The sequence below is a fragment of the Homo sapiens genome, chromosome X (assembly GCF_000001405.40).
Source record: "Homo sapiens chromosome X, GRCh38.p14 Primary Assembly".
In the NCBI taxonomy this organism is placed as follows: Eukaryota; Metazoa; Chordata; class Mammalia; order Primates; family Hominidae; genus Homo; species Homo sapiens.
The window spans coordinates 22,265,647-22,287,959 of record NC_000023.11 but is presented as its reverse complement, the minus strand read 5'-3'; the positions used below and the strand labels follow the sequence as shown (position 1 = coordinate 22,287,959).

The 22,313-nt window shown below is 38.9% G+C and overlaps 1 protein-coding gene and 1 long non-coding RNA gene across 2 annotated transcripts in view; one reads left to right on the top strand and one right to left on the bottom strand.

The window, feature by feature from the left end:
• Positions 1–22,313, top strand: part of PTCHD1-AS (PTCHD1 and PHEX antisense RNA) — a 1,100,142-nt gene that overhangs the window by 1,005,187 nt on the left and 72,642 nt on the right. The window lies entirely within an intron of this gene.
• On the bottom strand, positions 13,499–15,047 carry CBLL2 (Cbl proto-oncogene like 2). Its single transcript, NM_152577.4, has one exon. It carries the CDS (start codon positions 14,966–14,968, stop codon positions 13,691–13,693), a length of 1,278 nt encoding a protein of 425 aa, NP_689790.1. The 5' UTR covers positions 14,969–15,047; the 3' UTR covers positions 13,499–13,690.

Sequence of the window (22,313 nt, the reverse complement as noted above, 5' to 3'; positions counted from 1 at the left end):
GAAATCCAAAGATTGGAAACGTAAAAATAAATGTATAGAGAACAATCTTGAAAACAGCATTAACAACAGAACTGATTAATTCAAAACTTAGTTTTTGGAAAAGCAATATATTGGGAAAATGCTTTAAAGTAAAATAATACTTTTGAAGGTCTAATTTTTATAAGTGGCCAATTAAATGTAATCCTTTTACTATAACTATGGGTGTGTCTATTTCTGCCCTCAGTTCTGCCAATTTTTACTTTAAATATTTTGAAGCAACGTTATTGGCTTTTTTTTTAATACTTTCCTGATATATTAGCTCTTTTATTGTTATAAAATATCTTTCTTGGTTTGAAATATTGCTTTTGCCTTAATATCTACTTTGTTTGATATTAGAATAAGAGAAGGGGCTTTCTTTTGGTTATTGTTTGCATGGTATATCTTTTTTGCATAATTTTAATTTTAACTTTTTGTGTCCTTAAATTCATGTTTCTCTTATAGAAAATGTCACGGGTGTGACTATATAGGCTGGTGTCGTAGGCAGTAAAGGAATTTACCAAGACCGTCGTACATAAAAAAAGGCAGATTTATTAGAGAAGGTATGAAAATACGTTGCAAGGTTGCAACAGGCAGCACAGTAGAGAAGGGGCTGTCTGCAAAGAGGCATTTTTCCCAATATATTTTCTTTTACTCCATATATGTATTACTTACATTCTGTCCTTTTCTTTTCTCTTTTTTTTTTTTTTTTTTTTTTTTTTTTTTTGAGACAGAGTCTCACTCTGTCACCCAGGCTGGATTGCAATGGGATGATCTTGTCTCACTGCTACCTCCGCCTCCCACGTTCAAGTGGTTCTCCTGCCTCAGTCTCCTGAGTAGCTGGGATTACAGGTGCTCACCACCATGCCTGGCTGATTTTTGTATTTTTAGTAGAGACAGAGTTTCGGCATGTTGGCCAGGCTGTTCTCGAACTCCTGACCTCAAGTGATCCGCCTGCCTTGGCCTCCTAAAGTGTTGGGATTACAGGTATCAGCCACCGTGCCGAGCCCAATCTGTCGTTTTCAATAGCTGTATGTCAAATACTGTTTTAAACCGACAAAAGAAATAATAGAAATACATTTAACAGTGTCACTATAAATATTAAGAAATTAAATACAGTCAGGTTGAATCAAGTGGTAGAGTGGGGGTAAGAAAGAAGCATACTGATTGTATCATTTCTCAAAATAAGAGATTAATAGATACTTTCTGAAGAAATAGAAGATTAAAAGCATTATATGAAATTATAATTATAAAGCTAGCCACAAAAACAAATACATGAACATTTCTAATTAGCAGAATAGACTCACAAACAGGAAATAAAATGGACCAATGGACAATGAAGAATGTTTTCAAGATCTATATATATAAGAACTATAATAAAAATTAAGATGAGTGGACTTCTAATAACAGATTAGGTAATTTGGTTACACCTTCTCACTCAGAACAACTAGAAAAGTATTACAAAATATTTTTAAATTTGCTTAAGGGCCTTATAATAAGATAGAGAAGTATTACCTGGACAAAACACAGGGGAGAATGGATGCCCTGAGAAATGAACCCTGTGTTTACACTCTACTTCTAGGGGTGTTTAATGGTCCTGGAGGGGGCATCTGAGAGGCTAAGCAGTAATTCAGTCAACCTGGTGAAGCTAAAGGAACAGACAGTGGCCAGTGGCATTGGAAGCTACCAAGACGTGGGTGGTGGAGGGGCGCTGGTTAACCTTCCTCATTTTGACTTGGATCTCAAAAAGTCTGCATCCTAATAAGATTAGTGTGAACTGGAAGTACATGAGCTGTTTCAGGGATTGTAGGTCTAATCCTCTCAATCCCTGAAATTGAACAGAGGTGATCAAGATTGCTAGTGCCTTTGGGCATCTGGCAGAAGCAAATGAGAATCCTCTTAGGAGGAAAATAGCATCACCTTGGGCTCAGATTATTTGTACTAACAGTTTTTCAAATCCCAGGTCCAACATGCCAACAGAAGCAGACAGGCCAGAGATAAGATAACATGAATTAAGACCAGTAGGGGGAAAAACAATAGAAATAGAATAACAAGGAAGGATACTGGAGATATCAGACAAACACTTTAAAATAAACATGCTCACCAAATTCAAAGAGATAAAAATCAGTTTTCAGAATCTCAGTAGAAAAATGGAAACTGTACAAAAGAATCAAGATCCTTCTCCCAGCACCAAAAATCTACACGTCAAGTCCAAAAACAAGTGGACATTTTTATAGCATTGGTGTGTGAAGTGATTGATTCATTTATTTAATAGGCATATATTGAGCTTTTCTGTGAAAGCCACAGTTAGATTCTGAGGAAGATGGGAAGATAAATAAAACATTGGTACTCTGTTATAAAGGACTTTGCAGCTAATTACCATATTTATTACACATATTATTTAGTCAAGCACTGACTGAGATTCTCCCTATGTTGCTTTTTTAAAAGGTGAAGGAAACAAAATACATTTTGATGTTTAAATGGTCTGATCCTAAATTTATTCTATAGGGGAGTTTCTAAATATGGGTGGATGAGAGACCATCATTACTGTGTGGTGTGCACAAGGGTTGGTCACTTTAATCTGGAATGGCAAGGGAAGAGTCACAGTCATTCATACCACAGAGTACAATGGCTGAAGTCTAAGTATTATGATCGCACAGGACTTCAGGTCAGCAGCATTCTTCAGTCCACATAAGAAGTGTAAGAAACTTGGTCCCATCTATATTTGAAGGGGTATTGATTTGGGGGCTGTTGAAAGCAATATATTTCTTTTCAATTTCTTTAAAACAGGAACCTGCTGGGGCCTCCTGGAGAAAATAACCTGTTCTCAATGCTGAAAGGACACTTGAATTAAATCATAAGTTACTTAACTTCCATGATAAATATCTCTCACAGCAAATATGGCCTTGAAAAGTTTCCATTTGGAGCCTGGTGAGGGGAACAAAGTCATTTCTTAGAAGCGTGAACTTCTTCTCTGAGACAGATTCGTGAACAAAGGGAATGAAAGCTGGTCTGTCAAAAGAAAACATGTCCTACACATTCCCTTTGTGAAAGGACTATAGGAATGTAAAAAAAAATCAATGTCCTCTTACACCCCTCTCCTCATCTATGTTCCGGTTTAGCCAAGTGGTCCATGCGTTGAACCCAAGGTAACATTTCTTAGCTTCATATGTCACTGTTGCATTGTGTTATTACAGATGCATTATCCTTCCAGAGTGAATCCACAACCCCAATGGCCCCTAAACTTCTGCAGTTATAACAATCTGGGTGATCATGTTTGGCTCTAATAACACATGCAAAATGAAGCCAAAAAGTTACCCTCAAGATCAGAACATAACAATGTATTGCCCTAAAATAAAAGCCATATAAGGTAAATAATTTGACATTGTGTGCTTAGATTGCCAGGTAATTTTCTCACAACTTCTCTTCCTTCAACTAAAACCACAGTCTTTATTACCTTCAACACACTTAAACTGAAAGAAATTTTGTTCTGGCCTCTGCTTCAGTGGCTAAAGGTACTGTTTGCCAGGGCTTTCTATTTTGATGTAAGATAGTAAGTAAAAATGTCAGATATATTCTACCTAGTACACATTGTTCTCCTTAACAATACCCGAAGGGAGCTTTCAATTCAGGATTAGTAAATATGTTTTTAAAAATTAACTATTGAATTCACAGTACAGAATAAACTCAGCTTGAGGTAAGTAGTCTTGCACTTAATTTGAAAATTATGTATTGAATTCACAGCGCAGAGTAAACTTAAGCATATTCTACAAACAGGGCAACTGTAAATATTAGGCATGCATAGTCACAAACAGATTTAGAGGGATTCTAGTTTAACTACTCTTCCTTTCTCACCAGAAAATTGATGAAACCGTTGCTTAAGGATAATAAATGATAGCAAGCTTGTTCGGTTGCAATTTACTTTCTCTCATCGTGTCACTGGTACACCATCCACAAATACATTTCGGTACTGACCAGTGTAGGTCCAAACTTGTCCATGTTGGACTGGTCCTTCTCTCCTATTAGCCACTACTGTAAGTTCTGGGGGCAGGGATCCCCTTTTCAATAAAACGTACTAAATCACCACAAAGTTTTCAAACCATTTTCTTCACAAGGAAAGACAATGAAAAAAGGGAATCCTAGATTTCTCCAAAGAGCTTGAGAGTTAAGGCAAAAGGCAATATCAATTTTAATCAAATCTCCAAAAGTCAAGAATAAATTTTGTGGTTGGCAGAATAATATCCCTTTCTACCCTCCATAAAAGTCCACATCCTGATCTCTGGAATCTGTGTATATATGATTTACACAGCAAGACGAAATTAAGTTTGCTAGTCAGCTGACTTAAAATAAGGAGATTAGCTTGGATTATCCAGGTGGATCCAATGGAATCACACAGGTCCTTAAAAATAGAGAAGAGGAAGCAGAAAAGTCAGAAACAGAGAGATGGCACCATGAAAAAGATTCAACCAGCCATTGCCGGCTTTGAAGATAGAGGAAGAGGCCATGAGCCAAGGAATGTAGGCAGCCTCTAGAAGCTGGAAAAAGCTCAGAAACGGGTCCTCCCCTCAAGTCTCCAGGAGGAACTCAGCCTTGCTAACACCTTGATGTTAGCCCAGTGAGACCTACTTCAGACTTCTGACCTCCAAAGTTGTAGGATAATGAACTTTTATTGTTTTAAGCCACTAAATTTGTGGTAATTTGCTATAGCAGCAAATGAATACAAGTGTTGAAATGCTTCTGGGCATTCTGGACTTCTTTAGTGTTGTTGGTCTATTTAAGAAAAGCTGGCACAGAGGACAGTGTTCATGTAGCATTCATGCATCTTCTTCCAAATCATTCCCAGGCATGCCACCATGGCCTGCCAGTCTTTTCCTATCACAAAATATTGAATGCTGTATTCTTGACACAAATTGCTGGGTCTCACCCTCAGAGCTTATGATCTGGGGTGTGGCCTGGGAATTTGCATTTCTAACAAATTCCCCGATGATGCTGCTGATATTGCTGGTCATTTTGAGGCCCACTGGTCTAGTGGAAGAGAAAGGCGTGTAAACAACTAAAATACAGTGTGCTAACTGGCACGATGTAAGCACACGAATAGTCCAGCAATCACAGTGAAGAGGCATCAAAATCATGTGCTTGTCTGGAGAAAGATTTTTAAAAGAAGTGAATAAGAAAAAAGACAAGACACGGAAAAGTGAGAGGGGGAAACAAAGGAAAAGAATATGTCTGGCAGAGGGCAACCCCATATAAGAAGACATAAAGGAGAAACTGCTTTTGTTTTTAGGACAGTGAAAAGGTATAACCGGAGAAAAGAATGCCCAAGGGCAGGTGGTGGGAAATGAAGCCAGAGAGGGAAACAGGCCGGATATGAGGGCCTTTCTGTGCTAAGCAAAGGAGTCTGACATTATCCCAAATGCTACAGCGATCCACTGATGTCTAAAAACAGACTTCCACATTAGAAGGCATACTTGGCAGCTGTGTTGGATGAGTGGGGCTGGTGATAAGACCAGAAGCAGAGAAAGCAATAAGAAGGCTCTTCCAGGAGTCCACCTGAGGAGCAACGAGTGCCAGCACCATGGTAAAGGCAATGGTTTGGATGGCATGGCCATGAGAGAAGCATAAAGATAGAGTCTGTAGACCATGGTTACCAGTTAAATATGGGAAGTGAAAATGGAGTGTGGAAGAAAAGAGAATGACTGCCAAGGTTCGGGCTTATACATTTGGTTGGCTATTGGAACCATTCACCAAGAGAGGAATGCCTAGAGGAGGAGCCTACTGTCTGGGAGAGGTGATGATTGAGTTAGGATTCACAGGGCATAAAGTGCCTACATTATACCCAAGGGAATATGGCCAGATGAGGGTTTTAATTAGCTATAAGTTACCAGGATATCAAAGCACAAAATAAAATAGTGTTCAAATCAAATAAAAATGTTTACTTAAAGACTTCTTAAAAATAAAAAATGGTTTTGTTTTGTCAGATGCTTTTTGTAAAACAGTGTGCAATGTCCTCTCATTCTTCCCCATGCCTAATGTGTGGCCGGTCTCTTTCAGAGTCAAAAGCATGGGAAAGGGAAAGCAGAGTAAGTAAGGATTTAGTGATGACTCATTTGTGATAGAATGCACCTACTAGTAATCATAGTGACTGAGATGGATGCTCCTTCTCAAAGCACGTTTTAGAGTTGGCTACCATTTTGTTCCATTCCCGGGGATTGTGGATATGTTCTGTCTTTACACTGAAGACAGAACCAGGCATACTGATTGCAGTACAACATAGGGCAAGGTATGGACTAAATTAGAGTCAATGTTTTTAATTTTAAGAGACCATATAGGCCGGGCGCGGTGGCTCACGCCTGTAATCCCAGCACTTTGGGAGGCCGAGGCGGGTGGATCATGAGGTCAGGAGATCGAGACCATCCTGGCTAACATGGTGAAACCCCGTCTCTACTAAAAATACAAAAAATTAGCCAGGCGCGGTGGCGGGCGCCTGTAGTCCCAGCTACTCGGGAGGCTGAGGCAGGAGAATGGCGTGAACCCGGGAAGCGGAGCTTGCAGTGAGCCGAGATTGCGCCACTGCAGTCCGCAGTCCGGCCTGGGCGACAGAGGGAGACTCCGTCTCAAAAAAAAAAAAAAAAAAAAAAAAAAAAAGAGAGACCATATAGACATAGCAGTAAGAAATTAAATAATTTGTGTATATTGAGCCCCAACTAAAGCATATCAAATGGCATTATGTACTAAAATGCAAATAAGTCATTTGCTTTCAGAAGTTGAAACTCAAAAGTTGACCCTGTAATTTAATTTAAATAATAATTAATAATAGATTACAGAAAAGGTGCATTCTGGGAACTTTTGCAGAGCACCATATAAATGCATGTAAAAATATATACAGAAAAAAATCACCTATAGAATCACAGATTGCTTTAATTTGCATTTATCCTTTCCTATATTGTGTTTGTATTTAATAATGTGCATGTAGTGCTCTTATAAACTAAAACATGAAAAATATTTTAAAGCTAATTTTCTTAATTAAAAATACAAGTATTTTTAAGTATATTCTAATGGAAACCTGAGATTATGCTGATATTGGTTCCTAAAACAGATGTTTGCCCAACTGCCTCCTCACTGTCTAATATGGAGTCAAGTGGCATCCAAAGTGATGTCAGCCTTGGTGTCAGACATCTAGGCTTATGCACAACTAGGGGACTAATAGCTTTCTCATATGTGTTAAAATATAACAGAGAGAGGTGGAAAGGCTGGACTAAACAGGGAAGAGAAAGTTTGAGGACATCAATTTGGAAAGCTGTTTCAAATTGTTGGGAACCATGAAAGGATGAGGTTAAAAGGTTTTTCCTCTAAGGTAGCCCATGCTGACTTGAACCTCCTTAAATGCAAAGATAAAGACTGTGCTCCACAGTGACTATGGCTGTATGTACTACGTGAATGCAGCCCTGTCACAAAACTTAGGGCTAAATCTTCAAAGTAAGATCAGGCCACCAGAGCTTGGCTATTATATAAAGGGCTCCCACAAATACAGGAGATCCAAAGACACCTATTCAGAAGATAAAATTAGGAATAAGAATTTATGCTTATAAGCATGGTACTTCACATGTATACCAAGACTGTAGGTAACACCAGCTACATATGCAATGCCTGCTTAAGCTAAATCCTCTGCAATTTGCTCAAGGTTACTGTGCAGTTTACTGAAGATTAATCCTCCTTATAACTTGACTATTAATGAGAAAATTGAAAAATAGGTGAAGATGACAAAACCTGAAGAAAATGTTTACTACTTAAAAACCCTTTCAAAGGTGAATTCTTTTCATGTCTAAACATCAAATATTTATAATTCATATCTTGAAAACATCTCACATTAGTGCTAATTTTATTGTAAAACTGGACAGTGTGTAATTCTCTAACTACGGGGGGAAATGGGAGTAAAAATGGCTTGTATCAGTTAGCTACTGCTGTGTAACCCATCATCCCAAAACTCAGTTACTTAAAACAATAAGCATTTATATTATTGCTCATAAAACTACAGATAATCTGGGTAGTTCTTCTGGTCTCAGCTGGGCTCCTGCATGGGTCTGCAGTCATCTTTGGGTTGGGTTGGGTTGGTAGCTATGCTAATCTTGGTTGGGCATTCTCACATGTTTTGGAGTTAGCTGACTGCAAGTTGGTCTAGGATGGCTTTGAATGGGGGGAAAATGAGTTTTCAGTGTGTTTTGTCATCTTTCAGCAAGGTGGGCCAAGTTTGCTCTCATGGAGGCAGTGCTCTAAAAGGAGGTGGGAGGACAGAAGCCCTCTATGCTCAGACCTGGTACGCTGACACTTCTACCACATTCTATTGGCCAAAGTAAATCATATTCAAAGAGGTGAGAAAATAGACACTACCTCTTGATAGGAGGAACTGTGAAGACACATGGGAAGGGGTAAAGAATTGCGGCCAATTTTGCAATCAGTCTGCCATATGCATAAACCAAACAGAATACCCAAGTCAATTATTAGGGGAAAAGTTTAAACACAAATGAGCGATGGTCAGCAAAATAAGCAGACCATCTGTTTCTTATTGTGTGATGATATGTGATGAGAAATGCTAGTTTTATTCAGTAGAGGGAAAAAGTTTTATACCTCTACTTTATCCCATCCAAATAGAACTCCATCTATACCACATTTTTACCTAGGGCTGACCTTGAAAGATACTTAAAAAAATGACTTAGTTCTTTCTATTGGAAATGAAATATATCTATTGACTATTTTGTCAAAGAAAAAAATGTATAATTTTACTCAGCATAATGTTACTGGAACCGTTAGGAGATGTGCCAAATTCTGACACTTTTTAGAATGATTCAGATACTAAAATTTTGCCAAGAACATTTCAATACCTGAGGCATTTTTTTCTGAATTATCCATTTAATTGTGCACTTCTCCTTCCTTTGTTTTTGTAGACGCAATTCAAACAGATTGCATTTTCCCATCTGGGGTTTCTGAGCCATGTGAAAATAAAGCATAGTTGGATCTAGAGTAATAATAAAATTATTTAACAAACAGTAGGTCATGAGCACCGGCCAATAAGAACACAGTCTGACTCTAAATTTTGCTATGCTGTGAGTTCTACCACCACCATTCCTCTTAGAAAAGGGATGAAGGATGCCTCCCACATCACCTCCCAGGAGAGAGGTGCTTTAATGAGACCCACTCCAAGGGCTAAATATTTGTTCTCTGGAACATTAGGGACACTGTGGACTGGTGTCTGGAAAATCAAAGGTGCAGGAGACAGGCTAATTTCTTTGACAGCTGAGGGAAAGGAAGCTGGCAACACTGAGATTGGCCAGCACACGCAGAGTTTATCCGGGAAAAGGAGATGTGTTTCTCATGGGCCAGGTATGGCCCCTCACTAGAGGGAGCTGGAGGGATAAACACAACTCAGCTAAGAGAAGTTGTAGGTATTGCCAGATTCTCAGGGGCTGAGGAAGAACTAGGGAACTAACTGGAAGAGAGAAGCATTCATATTCATCACGGGAACTACAAGTAGAGATCTGGATCAATGAGAGCAATTCTTTCTTACCAACCATGAAAGTGTCAATGAAAGAAAAAATTAATTCTTAAAACCTGAAGTTGGGCCCAGAAACTACTAACCCAGTTTCATATAGTACCAACCAAGTTAAGACTTTTCCTACTTCCCTCACCTCTCCTGCCCCAATCCTTTGCATTCCAACTCTGAAGGACCAAGACCTCCACCTGATGAAATAGGGGAGAAGAAATCAAAGCAAAGGTGGTTAAGGCAAGAAGTTGACCACAACATTCTTCCTAACTGCTGGTCTTCCACCAGCCACAGCTAGGGAAGTAAGGAAAGGACTCACCCTTAAATCAGTTCTAAAGTTTGACTGTCCCATCAGACTGGACATTTTAATAACTGATCAGAGAGCTTTCCATTTAAGACTGTAGAGGAAAGTTATGAGATGGCCCCAATTTTCACCTCGGAAAGAATAAAATGTAAAAAGAAGAAAACAGCAAGAACGAAAAATAAAACTGCTTTGTTATATATCACTCTTCATCCTTCTTCAATGGACTAGTACAAAGACCCACCTCTCCTGGAGATAACATTTTTTTGGAGGAAACAAAAAAAAAGCAATTAGTAATTAGTTATGTAATAACAGGTAGTGATAGAGAATGAAGGAAAATAAAGCAGGGTTAGGAGATGGGTGTGTGGAGGGCAGTGCTATTTTCCACAGGGTAGCCAGGGAAGGCATTTGAACAGAAACATGAAGTGAGAGAGCCAGCCTTAAGAAGATTTGTAGGAAGATGGTCCAGGCAGGGGGAAAAAAAAAAAAAAAGAAAAAAAAAAAGCAATAACTGTAAAACGTGAGGCAGGAAGGAATTTGGTGGTCCAAGGATTTTTTTTTTTAAGTTTGTATGGCTGGAACAGGGGGAACGGAGAGAGAAGGGTAGGTTATGAGTTTTGAAAATTCACTAGGAGTTTAACCATATACAGTCATGAAAAAGGAATTGGACTTGAAGTGCAACACAAAACTATTTGAGGGCTGAGTTCCATTCTTTTTTTTTTTTTTTTTTTTTTTTTTTTCTGAGACAGAGTCTCGCTCTGTTGCCCAGGTTGGAGTGCCGTGGCGCGATCTCAGCTCATTGCAACCTCCACCTCCCGGGTTCAAGCAATTCTCCTGCCTCAGCCTCCCGAGTAGCTGAGATTACAGGCGCCTAGCTAATTTTTTGTATCTTTAGTAGAGACCATGTTGGCCAGGCTGGTCTCAAACTCCTGACCTCGTGATCCACCTGCCTCGGCCTGCCAAAGTGCTGGGATTACAGGTGTGAGCCACCGTGCCTGGCCGAGTTCCATTCTTAAACGATTACCTTGGTTGCTGGGTACAGAATGGATGGTAGACCACTGAGACTAGAGACTGGGTGTCCAGTGACGAAATTTTTGAGTCAGCTGTTTCTGAATCACCTAGGATACTTACTGAAAGAACAGATTACTAAACCCTATCCATTGCCAAAACCTACTGATTCAGAATCTTTTGAAAATAAGTAAAGCAAAGGATGCTAATTTGTGGTGATGCTCCAGGAGATGCATGCTGTCAGAATCAGGAATCACAACCCTATATTAATGACCATTTTATGAGCACCACAAGAGAACTTTTGCTCAGTATCACACTTATGCTTCCCGTGAAATGTGCGTGCTTTTATCTTGCCTGTTTGCTTTAGACACTTTTCATCCATCATTAACAACAGTGCAGGAAGCAATTGTGCAAATTTTTTGCTTCCAACTTTAACTTGGACTCAATTTTACTATTTATCCGACCTTCATTTTCCCTTTCCCTGGTATTTCTGTTTATTTTTTAGTATTTATGGATCCATATTGTTTTTCAGACTTAAACTGCCACCTCAGTAGTCTTCAGAGCAATGTAATGTAGCATACATAAATTTAATTTAGACTTATACTCATTATAGCTTCAAAGCCTTCTCTGAGTAAAAGGAAAGGATTCATATTATTTTTCCCTTAAAGAAACACTAATGGTAATTTTGTGATTCTTTTACCCATCACTATCATTCAAACATAACTGGATGAGTTCATAACCAATATCATTTAAAAATTTTATCTCCTACAACACATTCATCTGTTCTGCTTTGCTGAATAACATATTGCCTAAACCTAACTGAAAATAAATAATTTTTAAAGGCTTCTTTTAACATGTAAAATTTCATAAGGATACTTTTTTTTGTCTAATGCATCATTTAAGTGGTTTCATACTGCCTTCAATCCTGGAGAATGTCAATAAACATAGAAGAGCTCTTCATAGATAGTTGAGAAGACTTAAATTGAATTTGGCTTTTATTACATGAAACAAAAAATTATATTGGATTTTAACAGTAATATTTTAACAGCTTCTAAGTAGAGGTAAGAAAGGAAATCAAGTGTGTACCAGTCCAAGTACCTATAATAATATAATAGAAGCATTTACCAACCAACATTTCGCATAATCACATGCCATGCTCCTAATAACAAGGCTTTTTCACTAGAAATAGTGCATTAACATTAGACTCTCAAATTGCTAGGTATGAAAAATCACTCACTTAAAAAAGAGTCTATTACTTATTTTAGGCTGGTCAAGGTTAAAATGGCCATTTATATATTTCTAACTTCAGCTCTAAGCTCAGAGAGCATCTGATCAGCCAAGACAAGAATTTATTTTGCCTGTACCCAACAGAGTAAAATGATAAGTTAGCCGTCAGTTCATCCTTTGCTAAAAAGAAATATCTCCCAAATTTATGTACTATAAACCATCTAGTAAATAATATCTGCATACTATACATTTCATATTTATATTATGCACTACTGAAAGGGGAGAAAAATCTTCATGAGGGTTTATTCAAACGATATAAAATACCCTAAGAACCTCAGCTCATCCATATGAATTCTATACAAAGTACAGAAGTATAAGTGTAAGTGGTCATCATAGCTGGACTGCAATAAGCCCCTAAAATGCAAAAGCTCATTCTAAAGACACTTAATAAAGCAGTGAAATTCATATGTCATTACTTTTCTCCAATACAAAGTCATCTAGTAGTCTTTACTGTTAACTTCGTGCTAAAATGTCCCAAGTTTAGACTGTTTACCAAGAAAAGAAATAGGAAAGAATTAGTAGTTTTTAATTTCAAGTTAGAGGAAAAACCCTTATCACACAATAATGCAACCCAAGCAAGTCCAAGTCTGTAACTGTAACAATGCCTCTCATTAATAGATTATCCAAATTCCTCCATGGCATTCAAACTGTAGTTTAAAACCTAATAAACAAAAAAAACCACATAAGAACAGGATCAAACTCTACCATGAAATGAAGAATTATAATAAAGTTTATTCAGTCCTGAATATTTAATTTAGGAGCATGAGCAAAGTAGAACACACTTCATGTAAATGACGCCATTTAAACAGTGCTATAAAATAATGCTACTTAAGAGTAGTGTGGTACATTATGTGATTTGAACGATTCTGTAAAAAAAAAAAAAAAAGCATTAACAAGTAACATTGTCCCCACTAGCTTGGAGCCTACAGATACAATTACTTTGGCCATATCTTTCCAAATGATTTAGTAATGCTTTTTAACATTGCAAACTTAAATCTATCATAGTACTGGAATTCTGATATATTTTGGTGCTTCTGCGGCTGCCTAAAAATGAAAAGGCATCCAAACGAAATGCACTATACACTTATTGTACCTTAAAATTTCAGTTCCTAAAATGTGAAATAATTATCTACCATTTAGCTGTCTGCTTTAACTGTACATTGTAGTAGATTTTTACCTCTAGGATTTGTATTGTACTTTGGGAAATCAGTGGTAAAATATGTTTAAGAAACAGCATGTGACTATGCTTGAGTTCACATAAAATAGCATTTTTACAGCTGTATTGAAATTTAACCCTTTTACACAGGTTAACATATCACCAAAAAATAAAAAAATAAAAACCACAATACTTTTGAAAATGTAACATTGCATATTTATTTCAGGAAATCGTCAGAGGTCACCTTTAGGTCAATTTACCACACCAGAGGAACAAAGTTGTTCAACTCCAGCTCTGCTGAACTGAGCCGCTTATCCACAGTACAGTATAGAACTTGAAGGTTTTTTTCCCATCAGGTCTTCAGTTCCAAATACTGTTATCATCCTTAATACCGTCTATGTCTTCTCTGGTGTGAATGATGTGATCGACCATGTAGGGTTGAAGGAGGTGGACTCCGCGTTGGTGGACAAGGTGACAGTCGTTTCCATGCAGGCCACCTTCTATGATCCATTGCATCTGTTTGTGTAAACTGAGGGCTCAAGGTTTCTTGATTTTCGGTGAACTGAGGTAAAATGTTAAGGTTATAATGGTGAGAAGCAAATTCACTTGCAGATGGATTACCATTTTGAGACTGGGGAGCACGTAGTGGAGGAGAATTCATATCAGGTGGCACCTTTACAATAATATATCCAGATGATGGATCGTAGGTCGTGGTTAGAGCTGGCACTTGGCTACGAACCGAGTTAGGAGTAACTACATCCTGAGGAGGATATGGCATTTGATGGTTTACTGGTGATGATGGAGATGGAGGTGGCGCATAATGCTGTTTCTGAGGTATAATATGATGAGGGGACGATACCGCTGGTTGACTTTGACACTCAGGATAATAGTCGGGAGGTGTTGGCTTCTTAGCACCAGAATCTGAGTTATTCTGAATATGATCAACTGTTAAATTGCCATGTTTTCTCGTAAAAATACTAACGGTTTCCCACTGGATGGGAAAAGGCAGACTTAGAGATAGTTCTGGGGGAGGAGCCTGGATATCCTTATGTGGCTGATTATGTTGCTCTTGTAGCATATGTTGCACAGACGGTAGTGACACCATGGTGTGCTGTTCTGGTGGAATATAGCTTAGATGGTCCCTGTCTTGCAGTCTTTTAGGGATGTCAGAGATTTCAGTTTGTGGCGGAGCAATATGAGGACGAACTTTTTCAAGCGAAGCGCTGGTAACTTGTTTTCGAGCTCTCTTATGGCGGCGTTTGATATGAGCCTGTAAGCTTTTCTGAGACAAGTATGTTCTCTTGCACTGCTGAACAATACTACACATGAAGACAGAACCTCGTTTATGCGCCTCAATTCTCAGCACAGGATAACGACAGCGCGGACATACTTTATATCCGACTTTGTCATATAAATTAGCACAGTGATAGCAAAAAGCATGCTTGCACGGAATTATTCGCCCATAGATTTTAATAGGCAAATCACATTTGTCACAGAAATGAATTGGTAAATCATCCTTTTCACCTATGATGTTTATCTTAATGTCCCCCCAACGGTAACCAGGAATTTTTTTCTTTTTTCTCACCAGTTTAACTCCTTTAGAGTAGTACTTCCCTTCTTTGTTATATTCACATTCTTGTTCACCAGCAGGCATCTTGTTCATATTCCTTGGAGTTCAGACACATATTTAGGTTTGTCTACTTCCTCAAAAATGACGTTTAAAGGAATTCTTCTGCTAACGTGAAGGCCACCCAACGATCCAGAACTATGAGTGCCTAGTAACCCATTATCAACGTCATTAGGATCCAAGTTTCGGCTCACAAGGGACCGGGAGTCATGTGCCAGTAACACGTGCGCATTACAACGCATGTGCACCATCTTCCCCAGCCTAGGAGGCGAAAGTGCGATCCGATGCCTCCCCAACCCTCCACTGCTTTGACGTTTAAGGGCTTCCTTCTCTCCTCACCTACCCTGTCCCACCACTCTAGTGAGGGAATTTGGGCAGAGAAAGAAAAAGCTTCAGTGTTGAGGTTGCTGATGCTGCTCTTCAGTACTCAAAGAGAAAGGGGTCTTCATGGAAACAGAAACTGATGGGCGTGGGGAATAAATTCCCAGCAGGCCCTGCAGAGCTTTGCCTTCTAGGACTGACTTATTTTTATCCTATTGCATTTTTGTGAACTACCTTAAATCACTCATTGGAATAAGATAGGATGATATGTCTGTGTGTGTGCATGTATATATACATACACACAAAATACACATACCTTTTAAGATTTTGTGATTTCACGATACAGTAAGTTTAAAATCACCTTTGTCTGGAAGAAGGGAGCATTACATTTATCTCGTCAAGGAAAAATCATGTAAAAGGCAGTGAATAGTGTCAGGCGCCTTGGCTCACTCCTGTAATCCCAGCACTTTGGAAGGCCGAGGCAGGCAGATCGTTTGAGGCCAGGAGTTCCAGACCAGCCTGGCCAACATGGTGAAAACCCATCTCCACTAAAAATACAAGAATTAGCTAGGCATGGTGGCACGCGCCTGTAATCTCAGCTACTCAGGAGGCAGGAGAATCGCTTGAGCGTGGGAGGCAGAGGTTGCAGTGAGCTGAGATCGCGTCACTGCACTCCAGCCTGGGCGACAGAGTGAGACTCTGTCTCAAAAAAAAAAAAAAAAAAAAAAAAAAAAAAAAAAAAAAAACAGGAGTGAATAGATGGTAACTTCACTGGGCTAGACATTTTTTAGACATTTGCTGTTCTTGCTTAATTTTAAAAAGGGTTATGGGTATTTAGCCCACATTTCCTCACATCTTACCTTGCCTCTAAGTACAAACTGGATCGTAAAAACAGCAACACACCATATTTTTCTGCCTCCACTCCACCCATAATTGTGGCACCTCTATTCTCCTGAATGTGCAGACATTCACCCTTTTAGCTTCGTTGGCTGTCAACCCCTACTCCGTGCCCTCCCCTAAAATACTAGAAAAACATCACTGATCCATCAAAGTGAAGTATCTTATGAGACTTACTGCAGTATGAGAGAACTCTGCCTTAATGGTGTCTAGGCAGTGTCTCAGAGGGGAAATGACAGGATAGGTTATTAGGGACTAAGTTGGGTGGTTTCAGGGCGGGTCTTGCAAGGCAGGCCTCTAATTGGGATTGGGTAGATTTTGTGACGTAATAGCTGTAGATTGGTGGGCATAGCAGGAGGAGAATATTGAAGCAAGTTTTGATGGGGAAGGTGGTATTCTTGTTAAGTAAACTCTTTTAGTTGGTTTACAATTTTAATTTTCAGGAAAAAGTATTTCCTGGAGCAAGTAGCTAAGTTTGCTTATTCTCAACATGGATTAATATGGGAACAGAAAACTATTCCCACGTCTGTTATTGTTTTACACAGCGACAGAGAATTATGTTGGTTTCAGTACTCAGTTACCACATAGCAGTGATCATTTTCCTTTTCCCTGGCTCTGGCTTGTTGGGTTGTTGACTCTTTTTTTTTTTTTTTTTTTTTTTTTTTTCCTTCCAAGTAGATGGGACTATAGGCATGTGCCACCACACCTGGCTAATTTTTGTATTTTTAGTAGAGACGGGGTTTCACCACGTTGGCCGGGCTGGTCTCAAACTCCTGACTTCAGGTGATCCACCCACCTCGGCCTTCCAAAGTGGTGAGATTACAGGCGTGAGCCACCGCGCCTGGCCAAGTTGTTGACTCTTGACTTCACTAATGGTGAAAACGCAACAATGCCCCAATAACCACCAAAGGCACCAGTGTCCATCAATATGCAAAGTCACAATTGCCCCAGCAAAGACACAATACTCACTGAAGGGGCCACTGAGTCCAAGAAGGTAAATGGACTTCTGTGCTCCCTTTCATTTCACTCTATTACATGGCCTACAAAACATTTCAGGTTTATTCTCCCCAGTGTCTTAAAGAGATTATTCTGAAATCATTCCTTCGCTTGCTCTTAGTTATTGCTCCTCTACCAAGGACTCGGGTTATAAGCTCATGGTGGCTAGTTTAAATTTAAATGAACAGTGCCCCTTGCCTCTGATACTGTCCCCTAGTTCTTGACCTTCTCAATATCCCATCAATGCTACTCTGTCTTAGGGTTCGTTCATTCACAGGAAGCAACTTCATCCCTCGTGCAAACAAATTCCTTATGGGCTCCTCTCATGGAGTCTCCAAACATACCTAACCTACCTAAACACTAAGGCCAATGCATGTTTTTCTCTCAAACCATTATATGTTGATTTAAGTTTTAGATCATTTGAATTTCTGTTGGCTTAGAAACTTTTAAAGCGGTACTGTATTTTTTTTTTTTTTTTTTGGAGATGAAGTTTTGCTCTTGTTGCCCAGGCTGGAGTGCAATGGCGCGATCTCAGCTCACCGCAACCTCCACTTCCCGGGTTCAAGCGATTCTTCTGCCTCAGCCTCCCGATTAGCTGGGATTACGGGCATGTGCCACCACTCCCGGCTAATTTTGTATTTTTAGTAGAGACAGAGTTTCTCCTTGTTGGTTGGTCAGGCTGGTCTCGAACTCCCGACCTCAGGCGATCTGCCAGCCTCGGCCTCCCAAAGTGCTGGGATTACAGACGTGAGCTAGCATGCCTGGCCGGTACTGTATTTTCTATAAGCCAAAGTGGTTCTTACAAAAGCATGGATGTTCTGCCCTATTATAAATAGTGAACCAGAATTCTGAGCAAAAACTAAAACAGCTTTAAAACATATGCGAATGTTCCTGTTTTAAAATTACAGTTACTCACTTGCCAGGCTCTTTATGAGGGTTCAATATTTTTTTAGTGATGTGCATATAATTCAAATGCCATGAATACAAAGGGAAAAATCTGTCAGATATAACGTCCATAACTTATTTTCTCTTTCCTTGAAGCAGTGTTAATTTTTTTTTGTCAAAACTGAGACATTTTTCACGTGGCAGAATTCTATCCTTACCCATGACCCTGAGTGAAAAAAGTCAGCTTCTTTTCCCAGTTGACTACATTTGCATTTCTCGCTCATTGGGTCTGCTTCAAATTGATTTAGAAATAAATTAAAAGTTCAGCTTTTGAGTAATGAAAGCATGCTTTTCCATAGACAAGCGATGTTAGCTTCTAGCTCCATACCCAGCAACTGTCCTGGTTCAGCACTTCCAATATCTCTGCTTGGAGTGTTTGCTTGTTTATAGCTGAGAAACCCGATGTGAAAGTTCTTAGTAAATATTATTTGGTGAAATTGTTGATAAGAAAAAGGATATTGACCTCCCATTTATCCCTATCAGATTTAAGAAACTATCTTGCTACACTCAGAGAGCCGTCTTTACAAATTGATCCTTATTTAGTACCTTTAAACAAAAAATTAAATGGGCTTCCATTCAGCCACCTCCTTTAGGGCAAAGAGGTGAAAGAAGGCCCTTTCCTTCAATCTCATTGCTCTTAAAAGTTGCTAGACTTACATTCAATTGACAGAAGGGAGATTCAGTGTCTGTCAGCCTATAACAGTGATTGGATAGAAAAAGGTTTGGGTTTGGAGCTTTTGAAATAGCTTGAATTCGTGGAGGCCTGCTTGAGCTCAGCTTCCCCTCAAAAAAAAATCCAAATGAGGTTGACGATGAAGAATTATGGACTACACAATGGAGGAGTATCAATGTGCACAATTAATACAAGGAAACAGGTTGAGACATCTCCGTTTAAGCTACATGCCATCTGGCCTAGAAGCAGTCATTCTACCCGAGTGACATCAAAGGTCAGCAGGAGTGAGAGCCGTATGTCCCGCTGCCAGGCTCCTGGATTTTATTTCTCATTTAAGAGAAACTGATCTGTCATTCCTCTGGCTCCTGTGGGCTTTAAATTCACATAATCAACATATCACTGCCAGAGACTTAGTAATAGCTGAGGCAGTTTAAAGGTGAGTGGAGAATAATCGTGCTCCCAAGCCAGATGCCTTCAGTTCTGCAAGGAAATAAAAAGTCCATCTCGGGTTCCAAAAAGGAAGGCAAATTGCCCTGTTTGAAGGAGACCTCACCTCTCCTCCCAAATGTGGGAGTAGCTACATTCTGCGTCCTGGGAGGGCTGGCCCTTTGCAAAAGTTTAAGAGCAGTGGTCCTCAAAACATGGTCCACAGACCCTTGGGGATTCTCAGGGACTTTTCTGAGGGTCATTGAGGTCAAAACTATTTCCATAATAATAGAAAGATGTTATTTGCCTTTTTCACCATTTGACATTTGTGACGATGGTGCAAAAGCAATGATGGGTAAAACTGCTGGCACCTTAGCATGAATCAAGGTAATGGGACCAAACTATACTAGTAGTCGGTGTATTTTCTTACTGCTACATAGTAAAAAGAAAATGTCAGTTTCATTTTAAAATGTCCTTGGTGAAGTGCTAACAATTATTGTTATTAAATGTCAACTCATGAGTATAGATCTTTTTCATATCTTGTGTGACAAAATGGAAAGTACACATAAAGCACTTTCGCTGCACACTGAAGTACAATGGCTGTCTCAAGGAAAAGCACTAATGCCATCATTTGAGTTGGAAGGTGAACTATCTGTTTTTTTTTTTTTTTTTTGAGATGGAGACTCTCTCTGTCACCCAGGCTGGAGTGTGGTGGCACGATCTCGGCTCACTGCACCCTCCACCTCCCTAGCTCAAGCAATTTCCCTGCCTCAGCCTCCTGAGTAGCTGGGATTACAGGTGCACACCACCACGCCCGGCTAATTTTTTTTTTTTTTTTTTTTCCCAGTAGAGATGGGGTTTCACCATGTTGGCCAGACTGGTCTTGAACTCCTGACCTCAGGCAATCCACCCGCCTTGGCCTCCCAAAGTGCTGTGATTATAGGCGTGAGCCACCGCACCTGGCCTATCTGCTTTTTTTTGAGGAACACTATTTTTATTTGGAAGAACAACTGACAGACTGTGGTTATTCGAAATTGGGTATTTGGCAGATACTTTCTCAAAAAAATGAACTAAATTGGCCAGTAACTTCAAAGAAAATAACTGGCAGTATTTATTGCCAATGATAACATTCAAGCTTTTGAATGAAAATTGGAATTTGGAAAATCTTGTATTTGCCACCGTGAGCCTAACAGCTTCCCAGCACTAAAAACTTATCTGATAAGATCAGTGGTGATTAATAATCAAGACAATGTTTTAAAATTGTATAATGAAATGTGCTTATATTTGGAAGATCTGCATAATTTGGTGCACTCAATATTTTCCAAGTGCCCAAGGTTTGGTGTTACAAAATCATAAATGATTAAAAGACACATTGAAATAAAGATAGCAATGGATTTTGTTGTAACAGAGCATGAAAACTTCATTGATATGTTTTAGATTCTGCATTGCAAGTAATCTTTAACTGTTAATAGTGTATTGCACCTTTTAATATCGCTGAGTAAATTTCAAGTGTTCTCACTACAGAAACTGTTAATTATTTTGACTTCATTATTCCCCATTTTATTCATAAATCATGACATCACATTGTACCCCATAAATATATACAACTATAATTTATCAAGTTACAATTGAAAACATTTCTTAAACTACCACTTGTTGAGTTTTGGTTTCATTTCAAAGAAGAATATCCACAATTATCTGAAAACCTATTCAAATACTCTTATGCCCTTTCCCTTTTTCAACAATATATCTGTATGAACCTATATTTTCTTCCTATATTTCACCAAAACCAAATACAGATGCTCCTTGACTTACGATGGGGTTATGTCCTGATAAACCTATCATAAGTTGAAAATATCATAAGTCAAAAATGCATTTACTACACCTAACCTACTGGACGTCATAGCTTAGCCCACCTTAAACATGTTCAGAACACTTACATTAGCTTACAGTTGGGCGAAATCATCTAATACAAAGTGTATTTTATTATAAAGGGTTGAATATCTCATGGACTTTACTGTACTGAAAGTGAAAAACAGAATGGTTGTATGGGCCCTTGAAGTATGGTTTCTAGTGAATATGTATCGCTTTCACACCGTTGTAAAATCAAAAATCCTAAGTTGTACCATTTTAAGTTGGGGTCCATCTGTGTTAAAGGAGATTGAATGCAGAAACAGAATCAAGAATCAGCTGTCTTCTATTAAACCAGACATTAAGGAGATTTGCAAAAATTTAAAACAATCCCACTCTTCTCACTAATGTTTTGAAAGATATAGTTATTTTTCATAAAAATGTGTTATATACATTAATGTATAATGGGTTTGTTATTGTTACTTTTAAATTTAAACATATTTTTTAAAGTTTCTTGATAGACATACTCCACATAAACAAAAGCTCTTTGGGGTCCTCAATAATATTTAAGAGGGTAGGGTAGAGGAGTCCTGCAAGTAAAACGTTTGAGAACTGCTGCTCTAGGTGATCTTTAATGCCCTTCTCTTCCAGAGACAGCACCATGCCTTCCCACATCCACTGCCCTAAGCTCTGTCCCAGAGGTCCCAGAACATTCCCATCTTCTAAATTAGCTGATGGTGGCATGAGGAAGGGAAAGAAAGATCAAAATCACTTTCAGCCAAGCACTGTGCCATGTACCTAATATATATCTCATTTAACCCTCACAACAGCCCTGTGAGGTAATAATAATAATAATATGCCCAAATAGTGGGGCAGCAGGACACATAAAGAGCCAACATCATTGTAAGGGTGAGCAAAGCCACATGCTGGCTAAGTATTAGACCAAATAAATAAAGACATCTTAAATACAGTTACAGCACTACTAATTTTCGAGTACATGGTGGTGATGCTATACCTAAATAAAACTTCATTGTAAAGCATTAGCAAATTCATGAAAGCATCTCATCATTAAGGTACTTTTAAAAATGTTAATCAGTGAACCACAACACACTCGTTTATTGACAATGGAAAGGGAACAAAGAGATCTTCATCTTGAAGAATATTGAGAATCACCGCACTGTAGCATTGTGAACTACGCTGAAGCCACAGCAAACTCAGTACCTCCAGAACAATGCTAAGCTCTTTGGAATGATTTCCTTAACTCCAAAAGTC